Genomic DNA, 20,197 nt, shown 5'->3' with positions numbered 1-20,197 from the left:
GCGGGCTCAGGAACTGGCCGCGAGGAGCGCAATCCAGCAGGCGCGCCAGGGCCCCCGGATCCAAGGTGCGGGGTCCCGATTGGGCGCCTGGACGCCCCGTGACGGTGGCGCCGCTGCCACTGTCCCGAAGCGAGGCGAGGCCAGGCGCTGCGCTTTCGGCTGCCCGCCCCTTCTCCCCGCCCCGCGCTCAGTCCCCTCCCTCCGTCCCGCCTCCTGCCTCGCTCCCTCCCTCGGCGGCTGCTGCGCCGCGCTCCCGGCGCACTCGGAGCCCGGCGGGGACCGGGAGGCAGAGACGGGGCGGCCGTGGCTCCGAGGGCGGGAGCTGAGCCGGGCCCCGGGACCGAAGTTTGGCGGCGGCTCCGGGAGGCAGAGCGGGCTCCCCGGGCGACTTCCAGGCCCCTCTCGCGTCCTCGCCCCGGACCCGTGGGCAGCCGGGGGGAACGGAAGCCGCGGCCGGGCCAACTCCGAGGCGGGGACGCCGCGACGGGAACTTGAGGTGGGAACTTTGCGCGCTGCAGCCTCGCCGGGCGCCACCGAAGCGCGAACCGGACCCCGAGCCTGCAAACTCGGGCTCGGGGGCGGCTGCACGTGGCCGTGGCCCTGAACTCCCTGCGGGGGCCTCGAAACCCGCCTGCGGGGAGGCCAGGGCGACAGAGGACTCGGGAGTCACCGCTGGTGCGTGGCGGCGTGGAGCGCGCTTGTTACGGCCAAGGTGCGGGTCCGGCTTCGGTTCATCCCAAGGGGTCACCGGGATGCGAAGTCCGGGACGTTCGCCGCCGCGGTGACCCCGGCGGGGGCGCATCCCGGCTGTGGGCCGAGGTTTCTCCCCCGATCCTGGGAGGAAGGAGAGTTAGGGATTGGGGTGGGGGAGTGTGTGTCACTTGCTCATTCACTGTATCCTTAGGCACAGTATGGAGCCCCCCTTCACCCCCACCGTGGGCCTGATTGAGTCATTCATTATGAACACAGCAAGCGTTTATTGAGCGCCTACTGTGTGCTAGGCACTGGGGATACTGAGACAGTTCACTGGGCACCCCCAGGAACTGGTAGGAAGGTGGTGGTCTCAGCCTTAGGGTTTCCATGTGGGAGAGAGGCTCAGCCCGGAGGTATGGAAGGAAAAGGGTGAAGTTCATTCATTCATTCATAGATTGGACAAAGATTGGTTGAGCACCTATTGTAAGCAGCTCATCATACCAAGCGCTCAACAGTCATTCATCCAGTTCACAAACATTTATGGAGGCGCTATGCTGGGGAGAAGTGAAGAGGGATGGAATGGGGGCACCCTTCATGCAGCTTAGAGAGAAGTAAGGATTAAGACCCAGGCCCCCGCTTGGGAGGCCGCAGACTGCCGGGGTGGCCAACTGTAGCAGCCCATGTATATAGGCAGAAGTCTTGGTTCATCTAATGCATTCCTTCTCAAGGTGGGAGGTGTGGAAGCTGGAATTGGTTCTAGAATAGGAAGAAAAGATCTTTTCAAAGCTCCTTAGGGGCGGGTGATGGGGTAGGGTGGGGAGGAGTTGAGAAACACTGATCCGACATTACTGAGGAATGCAGGTTCCCACCAATGGGGTTTATGAGTTAGGTTGTCCATTCAGCAGGCATTTTCTTAAGCACTCGCTGTTATTAAGCACTTAAAGGGTGCCAGGCACCAAAGTTACCCAGGTAAATGACAGACACATAGAAGAGGGAGACAGACACAGACGCCCCCACCCCCTTTGCTGACTCCCTGAGATAAGTACAGGGGGAAGTAAGAGGAGGGAGCAGGAACTGGTCTGATTCATTGTGGGGTGGGGGAAGTTCCTGCCCTATGAATCTGAGCAGAGGTTTATTCATTAGTGTGTGTTTGATACCCCCATACCCATGATGGCAGAGTCCCTATGAAGAGCCTCACCGGCAGCACATCTCCAAGAAAAGTTTGGCACTGCTGATTGGGGCCTTGCGGTCGGCACTGTGGCTAGGGCATGCTGTCCTTCTTTGGGGGATTTTTCAGGCTCTGCCAGACCTGAGCTCTATTTGTGCCTCCCCCGGCTTTTGGAGCCCTGCAGAGTCGCCTGATAGGAGGGGAAGGAGGGAAGGTGTGTTTGAAAAACAGGCAAGCGCTGGCCCCTGGGGATCACCCTCCTCAGTCATTCTCGAAGCCAGCCCGTTCCACGGGAAAGATGTCTGTCCTGGGACACACTCCTAACCTGCAGGGAACTGCAAGCACACTGGAAACGAGGCAACCTAGGTTCTTCTCCTGAGACTTGAGAGCCCAGGCCCGCAGCCTACAGCCTGGGTTGTCAAACCTTGGGAGTAAAAAAATCAACCAAACCCCTAGTTTTGCCAAACTCTGGGTTGCCTTTTTGGCCTCTGGGAGGGAGATGTGACATGGGAGGCAGAGGTTACTTGCTTCTCCCCATCCCCAAAGACTTTCCCGAAGCTTGTCCTGGAGCCTGATTGGGGCAGATCTGAGCACCACTTTGAATTCTCTGCACCAGACCCACAGCTGGGCTCTGGCAAGAGGTGAGGGAGGTGCCTCAGGAAACAGAAGAACAAAGAGATGTGTGCTGGATGCAGGGCTAAGCGACGCAAACCAGCTCCGAGGAACTCACCTCCTGGAGCCGCAGTAGGTACCTTGGCTCGGCTGTCCTTTCTCCACCCTGCTTTCCAATGTTGATGAAGAGTCAACATTGCCTGTTGCCAGAGGTCTAGGGGTACAGGAATCTACCCTTGGTTGTTGCATTAAGCCCAGAAATGGAGCCTGTGGGTGAAAAATGGCAGCTGGTAAAGCCCCTCTAAATAGAATTAATAAAAAGGGAGAGGCGAAGAACCTAGCTGAAGCACTCCATTGCTGTGGACCATTTTTATCATCCAGCAGACTGTATTTGATTAACGAAATCAGAAATGAAGTGACTTTGCTACAAATAGGATCTGAATTGTGCCTAAGACTGTCCGTTGCCCTGAGGTGAGTCTTCACTCTCATACCCACACCTCCCCGGGCAGGTCCGATCATGCTCTCCCTCCAGAGGACTCTGGTAAGCAGGTGTCTCCCTTCCTGCCGTCCTGAGGTCCCCACTGCTCCCCCAAGCCTGCTTCTCTGCTTAATTTTGAGCTACAAGGAGGCAAAGAGAAAAGGATCTTCTGGCTCCAGTCCCCAAACACCTCCCCGTAGAAGAAGGCAAACGCAAACGTGCATTTGGTGTTATTTTGCTTGCCTGCAGCACAGCAGGGAGGCTCCCGAGGCAGCCTGTCTTTTTTATAGGGGGGAGGGACACTGGCACTTTTTCTCATTTGGGGGCAAGGGAGGGATGGAGGGAAGAGCCTAGCTCCCAGCACACAATCTCCCCAGGAACTTGGGCCCCAGCTTTCAGGAGGCTGGGCCAAGGCCCAGGGTGGTGGGACTGTGGCGAGAACAGACAGCAGGTGGCTAAGAAAGATATATTCTCCACCAGGGCACAGCAGCTCTTGGAAATCTAACATGCCAGGACCCGGGCCAGGCTAATGGTTGGATCCATTTTGATTAACGTTTTAATTGGGGATTAATGCAGCCTGACCCGCCTCTGAGTCGGCTCGGCCAGAAGCCCTAATCCTGACAGATGAAGCTATACTGGCAGTGAAACGCTGCAGGGCCTGGGAAAGAGTGGCATGGAGAGAGACGGACGGGTCCCCGAGACACCCACTGGGAGTGAGGGAATGGCACAGGTTGAGAGGCATGGTACGAGAGAGAGAAACCAAAGCCTGCAGAGTACAGGAGAGAAATGCTTTCCTTCTGGAAAGTTGCCTTGGAAGCTGTGTTAATTTCCTCCTTTCACATACTTGCACACATTTAGTGGCTTAAAGCAATATAAATTTATTATTATTATTATTATTATTTTTGAAGACAGGGTCTTGCTCTATCACCCAGCTGGAGTGCAGTGTCACTATCATGGCCCACCACAGCCTTGACCTCCTGGGCTCAAGTGATCCTCCCACCTCAGCCTCCTGAGTCACTGGGACTAGAGGTACACACCACCATGCTCAGCTGATTATTTTTTAATTGTAGAAACAGGGTCTCACTATGTTGCCCAGGCTGGCCTTGAACTCTGGAACTCAAGCAGTTCTCTCACCTTGGCCTCCCAAAGTGCTAGGATTCCAGGCGTAAGCCCCTGCGCCCAGCCTGAATTTATTATCTCATAGTTTTTGGAGATCAGAAGACCAAATGACTCACTGGGCCAAAATCAAGGTATCAGCAGGGCTTCTGGAGACGACTCCACCCTCTGCCTCCATCGTCAACATCTCCTTCCCAGAGGCCAAAATGGCAACCCTGAGTTTGGCAAAACTAGGGGTTTTGTTGATTTTTTTTAACTCTGCTCACTTGCAAATATAAATAGTGATAAATATGTTTCCCCAGCCATGGACAATTGCCTGCTTCTCCCCATCCTCAGAAACATTCCAAAATCTCGTCCATATGAAATAGAGACTAGAAACCCAGTCCCTGACTCACTGCAAGGGGTGGAGACACCACACCAGCTCCCCGAAAGGAACAAGTGGTTCAAGGAGGCAGTAAAAGGCAGGGGTCAAAGAGGTTCGGCCTGGAGTCCCACAGATCTAGTTTAATTCTGGCTTTGTCGCTTATTGCCAGACATAAGTTTTCACTTCTCAGAGCCTCAGTTTCTTCATTTGTAAAATGGGGGTATTAGTGATAATGCCCACCTTTTTAGGAAAGGATGGAGACTCAGGCAATGAAGGCTCCTAGCACAGCACCTGGCACTTAGTGAGTTTGCAGTGGAGGGAGGCTGTGGTTGCTGCTATTTATAACACTTTGTGCAGTTAGCGCTCTCTCTGCATTCCCCGCTGCCACTCGGAAGAGGGACGGAGAGCATAAGACAGAAAGAACAGGGTCCAGAGAGGCCCGCAGCTTGTTGGAACCCCGGAGAGAGACCTGAAAGCAGTTGGGGTCAGCCCAGGACCATCTGTAGAACCATTTCATGCCCCTGATGGAATGTAGCCATGGGGACAGGAGGCCCAGTGACACTGCTCATCCCTGCAGCAAACCTCCGTTCACCAGATCCCCATAATAGCCCCGTGAGGTCAGCAATCTTATCCCCATCTTCTAGGGGAGGAGGCAGGCTCAGAGAGGCCAGCGGCTCAGTGGGTGTGATGGCCTGCCCAGGCCACAGGGTTATTAGCAGGAGCAGCAGGGACGACTAGCCATGCCTGGCTTGGACCTTCACTCCATCCCATTCCGCCCTCCCAAATCCCACCCCACAGGTCCCGCACCTGTACCCTCAGTCATGTGCTGACCTCAGGGTGGTCACGTGAGAACTGCCACTCAGAACGCCTTATGATCTCAATGATCATTTATCTTTGGAAGTATGTTCTCAGCCCTCAGCCATAGCTTATAAGCATCACCTTTTCCTCAAAGGAAAGATAGAAAAATTGCGAGGAGAGTGTCAGTGGATCTCTGGGCTCCTGAATGGAAATTTGATCAAGGCAGCCCCAACGCAGAAGATTTTTCTCACGAACCAGAAGGGATTTCATTTCTCCAATGAAGCGGGACTCACAGCCTTCCAGAGCCTCTAGGAGATTGACACGTTGGGCAGGGGAGTCCAGGTGAAAGCCCAGAGCAGCTCCTGTGCCTCCAGCCCCTGGGAGAACTCCAGGCATTCCCGGTCCCCTCTCTCACACAGAATCTCCATGAGAGCCTGTGAACATGCTCATTCCTGGGCCTCCCCTTCAGACATTCCGACTGGGAAGGGAGGGTCCCAGAAATCTGTATCTCCACCGAGCACCCCGAGCAATTCAGAAGGTTCTGTCGTTCCTGTGCTCTTCGTTTTTCTTTTTAAACCTGGGTTAAAACCCAGAGTTGTACAAACCACACCGCTTCCCAGCACGCCTCCTCATTGGCCTGTGCCAGGCTGTCTCATCTTACTCATTTTTCTTCTTTGTTCCAATCCCCGCGCTTCTTCCCCTTCCTCTGCCCTTCCAGGCACCCTCCATGTGGTTAATATAGATCCTCACATGTGCTTGAGACCTTGTAAAATATGTAATGTGTGTGTGTTCATTTACATAAATAGCACAGTGCTAGAAACTTCTGTTTCTTTTTCCACTCGGCACACTGTTTTTAAGACCTAAATGTGTTGCTAAATCTCCACTCAGTCCATTGCTTCTGATTCCTGGGCAATCTGCAGGCTTCCATAATCTGCCTCTACGAAGACTTGCCTGTCCACTCCCCTGGGGATGGATGCTAGGGGACCTCCTGGTACCATAAACAACACAGAACACACATTTTTGTACCTTGTTTGTTACTCTCTTCCATCTGGTTCCCCAGAAGCAAACCCTGAGTGAAGGATTTGAGTGCAAATAATTTATTACTGACAATGTCTGCCACAACCCTTTGTGGTCCCAGGTCTGGGAAATATACCCAGAAGTGGGATTCCTGGGTCACAGGGCAGCAGCATCTTCATTTCCCTCATTACCGCCCAGTGGCTTTCCCAGAGTGCTAGGCCAGCCCGCATACCCTCTAGCAATTGGATCCGGGGATCAGATGATGCTGGATCCAAATCCCAGTGGGTCAGGTCAGAAAAGAAGATTCTCTTGGGAAGCAGGGAGGGGGGCAGCGGACTCTAATCGTAGCTTGTGAGAATTCCAAGGCGACTATTGAGGGTTCACTCAGCGTCAGGCATGGAGCCAAGTGCATCACCTGTGCCATCTGCTTTTGTCCTCACCGTAACTCAAGGACGCAGGAGCTGTTTGTAGCCTCATTATACAGATAAAGAAACTGAGTCTCAGGGGTAGGGCACAACTTGCCTAAAGTCACAGAGCAACTGGCCTTGAACCCAGGTCTCCTGATTTTAAAGCCTGTGCGCCCTTCTGCCTCTTCAGCTTAGGGTGGTTGGCACATTGTCCCCCAAGCTGGAGGAGAACCAGAACCAGAACCAGCTTTTTTTCAACATCCCCTTTTTTTTTTCAAGACAGAGTCTCACTCTGTCGCCCAGGCTGGAGTGCAATGGCACCATCTCCGCTCACTGCAACCTCTGCCTTCCAGGTTCAAGTGATTCTCCTGCCTCAATCTTCCCAGTAGCTGGGATTACAGGTGCCTGCCACCATGCCCAGCTTAATTTTGTATTTTTAGTAGAGATGGGGTTGCACCATGTTGGCCAGGCTGGACTCAAACTCCTGGCCTCAAGTGATCCACCCGCCTTGGCCTCCCAAAGTGCTGGGATTCCAGGCATGAGCCACCATGCCTGGCCTCAGCATCCCATTTCCTATTGCAACTGTCACAAATTACCACAAACTGGGTGGCTTAAGACAGCCCAATTATATTATCTTACAGGTCTGGAGGTCAGAGGTTGGAAATGGGTCTGGCTGGGCTAATATCGAGTATTGGCAAGGCTGTGCTCCTTTCTGCAGGCTCCAGGGAGCTCATTTCCTGGCCTCCAGCCTTTGGAGGCCACCTGCATTCCTTGATTCATGGCCCCTTCCTCCATCTTCAAAGCCAGCAGTGGCCAGTGGAGTCATTCTCATGCCGCAGCCCTCTGCCGCTCCATCTCCTGCTTTCTTTTTCCACAAATAAGGACCCTGTTGATTACACTGGGCCCACCCAGATCATCCAAGATAATTTCCCATCTCAGATCAGCTGTAGCAGCCTTAATTCCACCTGTAACCTTCGTTCCTCCTTCCATGCAGTCTAACGTAGTCACAGCTTCCAGGGATTAGGATTAGGACGTGGGCATCTAGGGGAATGTGGGGACATTTTTCTGCCTACCATATGCCCTGCCCTGACCACTCTGGCCTGATGTGATGCAGCTTCAGTGGCTACCGGGCACAGGGCACAGGTGAGGCCCCCACCTCTGACTTCACCATAGCTCTACTACCCTGGCCCTCCGGCCCCTGCCAGCCTAGCCAGGTCAAAGCTGCCAGGTGACACCCTCACCCCCCGCAAACACACACCCATCAGCTCAGCATTGATGGTCTGGCACCGTCCTTGGGAGACACCCATCTCCCCCCTCTCTCCTGGATTTTGCCAGCTGCTTCTTCTGTCCATAATCCCACAGCCAGGAACAGCTTCCTCTGACTCAGCTCACCATAGCGCCACCTATCCGTCGCCTCGGTAAATGGCACCCCTGGAATCCTGATTCTTCTCTTTTCCCCCTCCCCCAGGCCCCATTCCTCAGCCAGTCCTGAGGGCTCTTCCTCCAAAGTTCATCCCAAATCCCTCCTGTTCTCTGGGACTTCCACCGCTGCAAACCTTAGTCATTTCCAGAATGACTTCCATAGCCTCCAGCCTGGGCTCCCCAGCCCACTCGTTGTCCACTGACCTGGCAGGCACACATGGACTCCTTGTCCCTTGCAGAATAAGCCCCAGCTCCTTATTGTCAGCCCCTCGGCCCTGCTGCACCTGGCCCCTGCCCCTCTCCTCTTCTCCCAGCTTCCCCTCGCTCTGTGCTCTGCATTCTCTGGTCTTTGATCATCCAAGCCCACCCCCAAGTCAGGGAGCAAATTCTTGCCACTCCCTCTGCCAGGTCCTCACGGGGCTGGATCTATCCATGCGGCTCAACCCCATGTCCCCTCCTCCAAGAAGCCCTCCTTCACCCCTCCAGCCAATGTTGCCCCACACCCCACAATAGTCATTCTCCATCTCTCACCTTGCTCTGTCAACAACACTGCAGTCGCTGCAGCCTGAAATGACTTGTGTGCTCATTTGGAAACAGTCTTCCCCACCAGAAGGTCACCTCCGTGAGGACAGGGCCTAGGTCTGTCTTGTTCTCTGCCGTGTCTCCGGCTCTAATACAGAGTCTGACACGTGGTGAGCGTTCAGTAACTACTGAATAAACGAACAAATAAAGGAATGAATGACACCTGCCTCCGGACTTCACCTCATCTCCCCCATCGCAGCCTCTGCTTCAAACAGCTTCCTCTCCCCAAGCATCCACAGACCCTCAGAGGCAAAATCACTTAAACCCACCATGCTGTAGAACTAACAGAACTAACACCACAGAGAAATAAAAAATTTCTTGTGAGGATATCAGGCTGCGTGAAAAGCAGTATTATTTTTCAGAAGGCCAGGCTTTGGGGCCTCTTTGATTTATGAACTTTAGTGTAGGGTCTAGAGGTGCTGAGCCGTCCATCTCACATCAGATCAGGTATCTGCAAGACCAAAGGCCATGGAGAAATATGCCTGTTCTTCCTTTAGCAAGTTCTGGCCTCAGCATTTCCCCAGGGGACTCTGGCTTTGAGAACAAGGTCGTTACTCTGTTTATTACCCTCCGAGTAGCATCAGCCTCTCCATACTCACCCTGCTGCCGAGACAGGATCACTTTCCACACAGGAAACTCACGTGGGGGCAGGGCGTGAAGGAAATAAATCACTAATTGGGGGAGTTTTCTGCTGGAGGGAAAGCTGGGAGGGTTGAAAGAAGAAATTCCTAAAAAGAAGAGGTGATTACAGCCATGGGGATTCACAAGAGCCCTCCAGGGCTTGTGTGAGGCATTTTCCGTTTACCTCCATCACCATTCTTGCCAAACAGAATGTCACTTTTTCTCTTTTCTGTGGTAGCAAAGATGAAACAGCAGAGCTGAAAAGAGAGATCACCAAGGAAAGTGCCTGAAAGGGATTATTCCCACGCCTCCAAAGGATCCTGGCAGGCTGTGCCTGAGGAGATGGGTTCCAATTTTAGGTGAAGTTAAAAACACTCTAACCATCTAAAATCAAATCATTTTTCTTTCAAACACAGGTGTACCCTAGTTTTCCAAACCCTGATCTCTGCAATTGTAGCCTTCCCCAAAGATCAGTGAGTAGTAGAGGGATGATGTGCTTTTGTAAAGCAGTTCCTCTTAGGAAGGAGCCCCTTTTAAGTGTGAAACACCCTCCCTCCCCTTCCAGCACCTATTAAAACATTTTCTCATTCATAGGTACATGTGTTTGTGTACGGGTGTGTTTGTGAGCGAGTATCTTCCTGAACATGTCCACAGCACCGACCCATATTTAAGTATTGGAAATGGGTTTCCGTTTGGAATTGATAGATTTTTACCACTTGATTCCATTGGGGATTTGTCTAGGGAGAGGGCTGGTGATTTTGTTTTTTTGTTTTGTTTTGTTTTGTTTTAGACAGAGTCTTGCTCTGTCACCAGGCTGGAGTGCAGTGGCACCATCTCAGCTCACTGCAACCTCCACCTCCTGGGTTCAAGGGATTCTCCTGCCTCAGCCTCCCGAGTAGCTGGGATTTCAGGCATGTGCCACCACACCTGGCCAATTTTTGTATTTTTAGTAGAGATGGGGTTTCATCTTGTTGGCCAGGATGGTCTCGATCTTCTGACCTCATGATCCACCCACCTCGGCCTCCCAAAGTGCTGGGATTACAGGCCTGAGCCACCGCACCCGGTCGAGGGCTGGTGATTTTTAAAAGCAGAGTATTTGACTCCTACTAACTTCTCTATGCATCGGCTTAATTCCAGAGAGCTCTGTGGCTATAATCTAAGGGTCTCAAACTCAAATGCCTATAGGGCCGGGAAGGAAACACACATGAGTGGAATAGAGTGGGTGTTAGGAAGACAATAGTTGGGGGTGGGGACTGTGGTGGATTGGAGCATGTGCTGCCTAAAGGGGTAGCCATTTCTCAGTTGGCGTTTGGGCCAAGTGTTGCCAGATATCCTGATTTTTTAAAAGAAGCCAAGGATATGGATTTTTACATGAAATTTCTCAACTTTCAAAAACTTCTCCAAGCCAAGCAAAATATTTGTGAACCAAATTCAGCCCATGAGCTGGTAATGAATAAGCAATCTTGTTCCAGTAGCACAAACCCTTAGCTTTGAGGGTTGGGAAGGAAGGAGTCCATGCAAGTTGATATTTTGACCTGAGTTCCCCAGAAGTCGCCTTATCATGTTGGTCTCGTCAACAAGAAATGTACTCATTTAACAAGCACCTCTTTGAGGCTTTACAGTGCTGAGCATAGGGATTCAGAGATGACTAAAGCACGTTTCTTCCCCCAGGGAGCAGGCTGCCTAATGAAGGAGCCAGGCTTGCACACAGACAATTCTAGAACTGGTGGTAAGTGCCGTGAAGACGGGTGCACCAGTTGTAAGGGGAGGGGTGCTCATTTTAGCTGGAAGAGCCAAGGAAGGCTTCCTGGATGAACATGGCTGTCCAGTTCAGCCCTGCATCCTCAAGGTGATGTTTGCTGACCCCTGAGCAAACGTGGCATTGCTTTCATAGTTGTGCATTTCTTTGTCCATTGCTTCTGATTTATGGCAAGTGGTATCTGTTTTCCATTAATGGAAACAATATTAGTTGTCCCTTTAAGATAAATAATAATAGGCCGGGCGTGGTAGCTCACACCTGTAATCCCAGCACTTTGGGAGGCCAAGGTGGGCAGATCACCTGAGGTCAGGAGTTCAAGACCAGCCTGGCCAACATGGCAAAACCATGTCTACTAAAAATACAAAAATTAACCAGGTGTGGTGGCACACCTGTAGTCCCAGCTATTCGGGAGGCTGAGGCACGAGAATTGCTTGAACCCGCGGCGCGGAGATTGCAATGAGCCAAGATCGTGCCACTGCACTCCAGCCTAGGCAAAAGAGCGAGACTCTGTCTCAAAAATAATAATAATAATAGACAATAGTTACTGAATACCTACTATGTGCCAGGCACTGCATTAAATGCTCCTATGTACATAATTCACTTAGGCCTCCCAGCAATCTTATCAAATCACGTGGCTGTACCCATTTTACAGACAAGGAAATTAAGACACATCAAGGTTGAGTCACTTGCCCAGGCTGTGTGGCTCCAAAGTCTGCGTTCATAACCATTAACCAGGCTTCTCCACCTCAGCATTAAGGACACTTGGGACCAGACAAGTGTCTGTTGTGGGGACTGTCCTGTGCATTGTAGGACATGCAACAGCATTCCCTGGCCTCTACCTACTAAATGCCAATAGCAACCCCAGTCATGACCAGCAAAAATGCTCCCAGGCATTGCCACATGTCTTTTGGGAGACTAAATCAGCCCTATGAGAACTGTAGGTCTACACTAAATTGTTTTTCCAAGCCAAATAAATACCAAAAAAAAAAAAGTTAATTTAAAATAAAATGTTAAGTAAATAACAGTACATGTGTCACCTGAAAATCCACTAGGATGTCAGCTGCCTGGGATCAGAGACCCCTTCACATTCTGCACACGGCTGCATCCCCAGTGCATAGATGGATATGGGAGAATTGTGAAGGCTGGGAGATGCTGAACAATGTTGTTGCTATTTCACTATTAGGTGAATGTCTTTGTCAGCTCAGGCTGATGTAACCAAATATTAATACCACAGACTGGGTGGCTTCAGCAACACTTATTTCTCCCAGTTCTGCCGGCTGCAAGTCTGAGAGCAGGGCGCCAGCAGCACTCTTCTCTGGGTTTCACACTTAGATGCCTCCCTGAGTGCTCCCATGGCAGAGAGAAAGCCCTAGTGTCTCTTCCTCTTCTTCTTTTTTTTTTGTTTTGTTTTGTTTTGTTTTGTTTTTATTTTTTGAGATGGAGTCTTGCTCTGTCACCCAGGATGGAGTGCAGTGGCATGATCTCGGCTCACTGCAACCTTCGCCTCCCATGTTCAAGCGATTCTCATGCCTCAGCCTCCCTAGTAGCTAGGATTACAGGTGCACGCCACCATGCCTGGCTAGTTTTTGTACTTTTAGTAGAGACAGGGTTTCACCATGTTGGCCAGGCCAGTCTCAAACTCCTGACCTCAGGTGATCCACCCGCCTCGGCCTCCCAAAGTGCTGGGATTACAGGCGTGAGCCACCGCGCCCGGCCTGTCTTCCTCCTCTTATAAGAACACGAATCCCATCGTGGGGGCGTTGCTCTCATAACCACATCTGAACCAAATGACATCTCAAAGGCCCCACCTCCTAATACCATCCCATTGAGGGCTAGGGCCTGCAACCTATGGATGTGGGGGACAAAGATTCCATCCCTAACAGTGAATATCTGCGGAATCTGCATTCTCAGCAAGGTGAAGCTAGGGGTGGTCACTGAGGGTCTTCCCTCCCTTCTCCCCACAGGCCCGAGAGGGATGTGAAGGCCCAAAATGACCCTCTTACCGGGAGACAATTCTGACTACGACTACAGCGCGCTGAGCTGCACCTCGGACGCCTCCTTCCACCCGGCCTTCCTCCCGCAGCGCCAGGCCATCAAGGGCGCGTTCTACCGCCGGGCGCAGCGGCTGCGGCCGCAGGATGAGCCCCGCCAGGGCTGTCAGCCCGAGGACCGCCGCCGTCGGATCATCATCAACGTAGGCGGCATCAAGTACTCGCTGCCCTGGACCACGCTGGACGAGTTCCCGCTGACGCGCCTGGGCCAGCTCAAGGCCTGCACCAACTTCGACGACATCCTCAACGTGTGCGATGACTACGACGTCACCTGCAACGAGTTCTTCTTCGACCGCAACCCGGGGGCCTTCGGCACTATCCTGACCTTCCTGCGCGCGGGCAAGCTGCGGCTGCTGCGCGAGATGTGCGCGCTGTCCTTCCAGGAGGAGCTGCTGTACTGGGGCATCGCGGAGGACCACCTGGACGGCTGCTGCAAGCGCCGCTACCTGCAGAAGATTGAGGAGTTCGCGGAGATGGTGGAGCGGGAGGAAGAGGACGACGCGCTGGACAGCGAGGGCCGCGACAGCGAGGGCCCGGCCGAGGGCGAGGGCCGCCTGGGGCGCTGCATGCGGCGACTGCGCGACATGGTGGAGAGGCCGCACTCGGGGCTGCCTGGCAAGGTGTTCGCCTGCCTGTCGGTGCTCTTCGTGACCGTCACCGCCGTCAACCTCTCCGTCAGCACCTTGCCCAGCCTGAGGGAGGAGGAGGAGCAGGTAAGAGCCCACGCCCCGCGGGGAAACGCGCCACCACGAGGGAAGGGACTCTGAGCATTGTCACCTCCTCCAGAAAGCCTCCTCTGATTGCACACTGGCTGAATAGCATCCCTGGTCCCTCCTGACATCAGGAATGTTTGTGTGCATGGTCTGCCTCCCTGTTAATATGTGAGCATCATGGGGGTCCACGCCTGTGCCTGTCCTGGCCTCCACTGTGCCCACCACTGCCCTCCCCCTTGCCAGTGTTTAGAACAGTGTCCAGCACAAACAGGCACTCAACCACTATTTGTTGAATGAACAAATGAGTGAATAAATGGGTGGTGTGATTTTTGACGTGCCTGGCCCTGAGCGAAGCACATTACATATATCATCAAATTTATCTCAACCATTCGGTCCTTTCTCAACGTTCCTAATCCTTTGCATCATAGTAGCCCAGACACATTTTCTGGGTCCTGAAGATAATTTTTATTGATAGGTATATGTGTGTCTACAAATGGTGAGCATTTCTTTTTGTTACATAAGAGAATGAATGGAAAGTTTATTTACTCCAGGGCCTGACACGGGGTGTGTGCTACAGTCTAAGGGCTCCCACTCATCTGGGAGTTCACGGGAGCCGGAGCTGGGCTGCATGTGCCAACTACGTCTTATCTCCCTAGGGAATGCTCCAGCAACCCTGTGGGGGAAGTGTTTTCACACCCACTAGGTATTTGAGGACACTGCCCAACCCCAGGTCTAAGTCCAGTCTGTCTTTGTAAGCATGGAAATATGGTGTCCACGTGGCAGCTTGGGGACCTAATATAGCCCCACAGGACTATGTGATTGGCCCACACAAGGTTTCCCAAAAATTTGACTTGGTTGCCAACAATAAAAGTGAAGTTTTTTCATATAAAAATTCAAAATCTCAGCTTCTTTTAAAAAAAATCATAAGATCAGGCCAGGTGTGGTGGCTCACACCTATAATTCCAACACTTTGGGAGCTGGAGGCAGAAGGATCGCTTGAGCCCAGGAGTTCAAAATCAGCCTGGGCAATGTAGTGAGACCCCGTCTTTACGGAAAAAAAAAATTTAATTAGCCAGGTGTGGTGGCTTGCACCTGTAGTCCTAGCTACTTGGGAGGCTGAGGCAGGAGGATTGCTTGAGCCTGGGAGGTAAGGCTGCAGTGAGCCATGATCACGCCACTGCACTCCTGCTTGGGCGACAGAGTGAGACTCCATCTCTAAAACACAAAATTTTTTTAAAAATTGTGAGGTTGGGTCCCTCCCCTCCCCCTGCCCCGCCACCAACATATACACCAGCCTGCGGTCCTACATGGCACCTCCTGGGGAGATCCAAGTCCACAGGGGCCCAGTTCAGTCTCCTTGTGTATGAGATCATGGGCCTTTGAGTTGGTGACTCCTTCCCTGTATATGGGGATTCTGGAAGCTTCAAGAAAGACCAAAAGTTTTCAGAGGTACAAATTGTATAGGCAGTGGAGAAATAGGTATGGCGGTGTGAACTGAACGTAAATATCATGCCAGCCAATATTTATTGAGCACTGACTGTATACCCTGCATGTGCTAAGTGCTTTACGTGCACTCTCGAATTTAACATTAGAAGTACTCACCATGTCAGGATTTTTCCACTTATGTATGTGGAGGAAGTAGCAGTAGCTGTTGCATTAATAATCCACAGAGGCTTACTGGTACTTTTGGTATACATTGAATTTATTTATTTATTTTTAAAAGATGGGGTATTGCTTTGCTGCCCAGGCTGGCCTCAAAGTCCTGGCTTCAAGCGATCCTCCCACCTCTGCCTCCCAAAGTGCTAAGATTACACTGTACTGGAGTACAGTGGTGCGATCTTGGCTCACTGCAACCTCTACTTCCCAGATTGAAGCGATTCTCATGTCTCATTTACATGCACTCTCGAATTTAACATTAGAAGTACTCACCGTGTCAGGATCTTTCCACTTATGTATGTGGAGGAAGTAGGCCCTCATGCCTGGCTTATAAGTTGAATTTTTAAATGGGTATTAAGAAAATAGCATTCAACCAGTAAGGTTAACTTTTTAAACTTTTTTAAATTAAAAAAAACAATTTTAGGCCACGTGTGGTGGCTCACGCCTGTAATCCCAGCACTTTGGGAGGCTGAGGCGGGTGGATCACTTTAGGTCAGGAGTCCAAGACCAGCCTGGCCAACATGGCAAAACCCCATCTCTGCTAAAAATACAAAAATTAGCTGGGCATGTTGGCACTCGCTTGTAATCCTAGCTACTTGGGAGGCTGAGACATGAGAATTGCTTCAATCTGGGAGGTGGAGGTTGCAGTGAGCCAAGATTGCACCACTGTACTCAAGTCTGGGCAACAGAGTGAGACCCTGTCTCAAAAAAAAAAAAAAATTTAGAGATGGGGGTGTTGCTATGTTGCCCAGGTTGGACTCGAACTCTTGGACTCAAGCATTCCTCCTGCCTCAGCCTCCTGAATAGCTGGGACTAAAGGCATATGCCATCACACCCAGCTGGTAAAATCAACTTTCAATAAGCATGAAGGGTAGTGATGAAGAGATCAGGGCTAGAGCCAGATGGCCTGAATTCAAATCCTGCTTTCTCCTCTCTAGCTGTGTAGTAGCTGTGGGCAAGTTACTTAAACTCTTTGAGCCTCTGATTTCTCACCTGTCCAGGGCGGGTATGAACAGGCCCACCTCACAGTGTTGCAAGGATTCAGTGAGTTCGCATGAAGTGATTAGAAGTGATTGGGGCTGGGTGCGGTGGCTCACGCCTGTAATCCCAGAACTTTGGGAGGCTGAGGCAGGCAGATCACTTGAGGCCGGGAGTTCGAGACCAGCCTGACCAACATGGAGAAACCCTGTCTCTACTAAAAATGCAAAATTAGCCGGACGTGGTAGCACATGCCTGTAATCCCAGCTACTCGGGAGGCTGAGGCAGGAGAATCGCTTGAACCTGGGAAGCGGAGGTTGCAGTGAGCCGAGATTGCGCCATTGCACTCCAGCCTGGGCAACAAGAGCAAAAAAAAAGAAGTGATTGGGCTGACTGAGTCCACGCCACATGAAGGGATTAGAAGCGATGCATAGTGAATGTGCAGAAAGTCCTCTCTTAAGGATTAGGGTCAAGAAGAAAAAGAAAGGAAAGGGAAAGTGCTCACCATTTGAGACCTGTCTGGAAATTGCTGTACTTAGTGTAAATTTCTTCTCAGCTTCAACATCTTTGATCGTGATTTTATCAGGAAAATACTAATAAAGCCACTGTTTTGTTCAACTTCTGATACTTGCTTTTTGAAAAGATAATAATACCTTTGCCTTTTTAAGGATTCAGTGAAAATGCTGTTCTTCAACTTCATTTTGGGGTGCAGTAGGATTCACTGCTTCACATGCTCCTTGTGCACACATTTGAGTGCCTACTGTATGCAGGCACTACAGGGGAGACAGGGTGACCAGGACAAGTCTTCCAACCTCAAGAAGCTTCAAGTCTATTGGGGTTGGGATGGAGTAGTGGCACCACCCACCCCCCCCATCACCATAAGCAGGAGACACAAGCCAAGGAGGTTCTGTATGGGAGGCCCACTGACACTGCTGGAGCTACTTAGTGGGGCACGCTCCAGGAAAGCTTCCCAGAGGAAGGGGCTTCCCATCCCAGAGGTCTAAGACCTTAAAGCCCCACCAGGTATTAGTTCATATCTCCAGCCTCTAACATATTCCTAGAGACAGAATTGTTCAAGTGGGACTTGTAGAACTCAGCTGTGCCCCAGAACCTCCAAGATGCCCCAGGCTGGAACCACACTGGCCTCTCCTCTCTGCCAAAGGCCCCTTCAAGGATGAGGCCCAAATCCACTAAAGGACTGTTTACCACCCAATTATATTCCAGACCAGAGAGGCAAGCTGGCAGCCTGCATGCCAAACCCAACAAAAATATGTGTTTTAGTGGCCCATAGAGTATTTCTTTGCACTGAATTATCACCAGGACTTAAATCAACATTTTATCTATTTAACCAACATTATCACCAACATTTGTCACCAGGAGAGTTCATGTAAAACTGCACATTTCCAGCCTCTTTTGAAAGCTTCGGTGAGGCAGCCTCAGCCTAAATTTGCCCGGGGCAGTGATGGGGGCACTGAACAAGACTATTCCTCACAGTCCATCGGGAGCCGTGGAGGGTGCTAAGCAGAGGAGGAACAGGATCCCTCTGGCTATGTGTGGAAAATGGACTGCAGGGATGAGGGAGCCCAGCGGGGAGGTGAGGTGACTGCAACCATCCAGGCAAGAAAGGATGGTGGCCAGACCAGGTGGGAGCAGTGGGCAGTGGGTTTGATTCTCGCACTGTTTTAAATGAAGAGACTTCCTGGGGGTTATACGCAAGGTGGTAAGGATGACGCCAGGTCTCCTGTCCTAAGCCATTGGAAAGATGGGATTGCCTAAAGCTAGGGAGGGAAACCACCAGTGGGCAGAGGAAACCAGGATCCCATGGTGAGTTCGAGATGCCCCTCAGACACCCAGGTGGGAGCGTCAGGGAGGCAGCCTGTTGGGGGTCTGGAGTTCAGGGCTGAGGTGGGGGCTGGAGAGAGAGATGAGGAGCGGCCAGTGTAGAGATGGTGCTTAGTGCCCCAGGCCTCGGAGTGGGCACAACTAGGGAGAGGACCCGGGGCCACTCAACCTGGAGAGGTCACCTTCCGCCTGGGAAGCCCAGCAGGGCACAGGGCAGAGCTTCTGCCCTCCTTTCCTGGAGGGCCCGCTGACCCCTCCGGCGTCCCTTCCCCTCTCTCCCAGGGCCACTGTTCCCAGATGTGCCACAACGTCTTCATCGTGGAGTCGGTGTGCGTGGGCTGGTTCTCCCTGGAGTTCCTCCTGCGGCTCATTCAGGCGCCCAGCAAGTTCGCCTTCCTGCGGAGCCCGCTGACGCTGATCGACCTGGTGGCCATCCTGCCCTACTACATCACGCTGCTGGTGGACGGCGCCGCCGCAGGCCGTCGCAAGCCCGGCGCGGGCAACAGCTACCTGGACAAGGTGGGGCTGGTGCTGCGCGTGCTGCGGGCGCTGCGCATCCTGTACGTGATGCGCCTGGCGCGCCACTCCCTGGGGCTGCAGACGCTGGGGCTCACGGCCCGCCGCTGCACCCGCGAGTTCGGGCTCCTGCTGCTCTTCCTCTGCGTGGCCATCGCCCTCTTCGCGCCCCTGCTCTACGTCATCGAGAACGAGATGGCCGACAGCCCCGAGTTCACCAGCATCCCTGCCTGCTACTGGTGGGCTGTCATCACCATGACGACGGTGGGCTATGGCGACATGGTCCCCAGGAGCACCCCGGGCCAGGTAGTGGCCCTGAGCAGCATCCTGAGCGGCATCCTGCTCATGGCCTTCCCAGTCACCTCCATCTTCCACACCTTCTCCCGCTCCTACCTGGAGCTCAAGCAGGAGCAAGAGAGGGTGATGTTCCGGAGGGCGCAGTTCCTCATCAAAACCAAGTCGCAGCTGAGCGTGTCCCAGGACAGTGACATCTTGTTCGGAAGTGCCTCCTCGGACACCAGAGACAATAACTGAGCGCGGAGGACACGCCTGCCCTGCCTGCCATCTGTGGCCCGAAGCCATTGCCATCCACTGCAGACGCCTGGAGAGGGACAGGCCGCTTCCGAGTGCAGTCCTGGCGCAGCACCGACTCCCACGCACCCGGGGAAGGACACCCTCACTCCCACACCCCGGGAAGAACACTAGAACATCAGCAGAGGGGCCCTGCCCCTCCGCCTGCAGCCGTGAAAGGAAGCTGGGTCATCAGCCCAGCCCCGCCCACCCCAGCCCCTATGTGTGTTTCCCTCAATAAGGAGATGCCTTGTTCTTTTCACCATGCAAATAACATGCCCAGCAAAAACTTGCTTTATGGGTCTGCCTGGAGAAAAAAAAAAAAAATACAAACAGCAGAAACAGCATGTCTGTCTCTAATGTGGATCATGTCCAGGGAAAAGAAATTGATGAAAAAGAGAGAATGCCTTCCATGGGGCTGTCTTAAAAAAGGGAGCTGGGTTTCCCAGCAAAGCCAGCAAGTGGGGGCTGGAAGTAAAGGGCCCTGTGTGCTTGGGTTGTTCAGGCCCGGTGGGGCCCTACTGGGGTTGTAGAAAAAGAGAACAGACACTTTAAGGAAAATGACCAGTGAATACTGTGCTCCCTCTCTCGTTTCTCTTGGACTGTCCCCCCCTCTGTGCCTTTCTTTCTCCCGTTTCCCTTTTATCCTTTTTTCCTTCTCTTCCATCCTCTATTCACCTTTTTCACCCCTTAGGGCTGGTTTTTCAAACTTTCACACAAAGGCACCCCTGACAGTTGACAGGTCATCAGGGGGCCTGTCAGCGTTGTTGACTATGAGGTGAAATCAGTTCATTTTATCTTTAAAAAATCATGTGGGGTTTGTATTCTACTCTG

General features: G+C 52.4%; 1 protein-coding gene across 11 annotated transcripts, besides 3 other annotated features; it reads left to right on the top strand.

The window, feature by feature from the left end:
- Positions 161 to 330: a silencer, noted in NCBI's record as "silent region_13038". NCBI's record gives its function as "represses an Ori minimal core promoter by ATAC-STARR-seq in GM12878 lymphoblastoid cells {active_cell/tissue: GM12878}" and the evidence as "EXISTENCE:reporter gene assay evidence [ECO:0000049][PMID:35858748]".
- Positions 259 to 19,710, top strand: KCNG1 (potassium voltage-gated channel modifier subfamily G member 1). 11 transcript variants are annotated; one of them, XM_011528802.3, is made up of 5 exons: positions 259 to 496; positions 9,522 to 9,637; positions 10,950 to 11,007; positions 13,002 to 13,801; positions 18,560 to 19,710. In XM_011528802.3, the coding sequence occupies exons 4-5, from the start codon at positions 13,028 to 13,030 to the stop codon at positions 19,325 to 19,327; spliced, it is 1,542 nt and encodes a 513-aa protein (XP_011527104.1). In that variant the 5' UTR covers positions 259 to 496; positions 9,522 to 9,637; positions 10,950 to 11,007; positions 13,002 to 13,027; the 3' UTR covers positions 19,328 to 19,710. The 11 variants fall into 11 exon arrangements, with proteins under 11 accessions (XP_011527104.1, XP_011527103.1, XP_011527105.1 ...); XM_011528801.2 differs by having other exon boundaries at positions 9,517 to 9,637; XM_011528803.3 differs by having other exon boundaries at positions 259 to 712.
- Positions 2,055 to 2,618: an enhancer, noted in NCBI's record as "H3K27ac-H3K4me1 hESC enhancer chr20:49637285-49637848 (GRCh37/hg19 assembly coordinates)". NCBI's record gives its function as "activates a minimal SCP1, AML or CMV promoter by ChIP-STARR-seq in naive and primed H9 embryonic stem cells {active_cell/tissue: H9 hESC(naive and primed)}" and the evidence as "EXISTENCE:reporter gene assay evidence [ECO:0000049][PMID:30033119]".
- Positions 18,867 to 19,368: an enhancer, noted in NCBI's record as "H3K4me1 hESC enhancer chr20:49620535-49621036 (GRCh37/hg19 assembly coordinates)". NCBI's record gives its function as "activates a minimal SCP1, AML or CMV promoter by ChIP-STARR-seq in naive H9 embryonic stem cells {active_cell/tissue: H9 hESC(naive)}" and the evidence as "EXISTENCE:reporter gene assay evidence [ECO:0000049][PMID:30033119]".
- Positions 19,711 to 20,197: the final 487 nt, after the last annotated feature.

This window comes from Homo sapiens, chromosome 20, assembly GCF_000001405.40.
Source record: "Homo sapiens chromosome 20, GRCh38.p14 Primary Assembly".
Lineage (NCBI taxonomy): Eukaryota > Metazoa > Chordata > Mammalia > Primates > Hominidae > Homo > Homo sapiens.
Note: the sequence above shows the minus strand (reverse complement) of the source record. Positions and strands in the feature narration are given on the sequence as shown.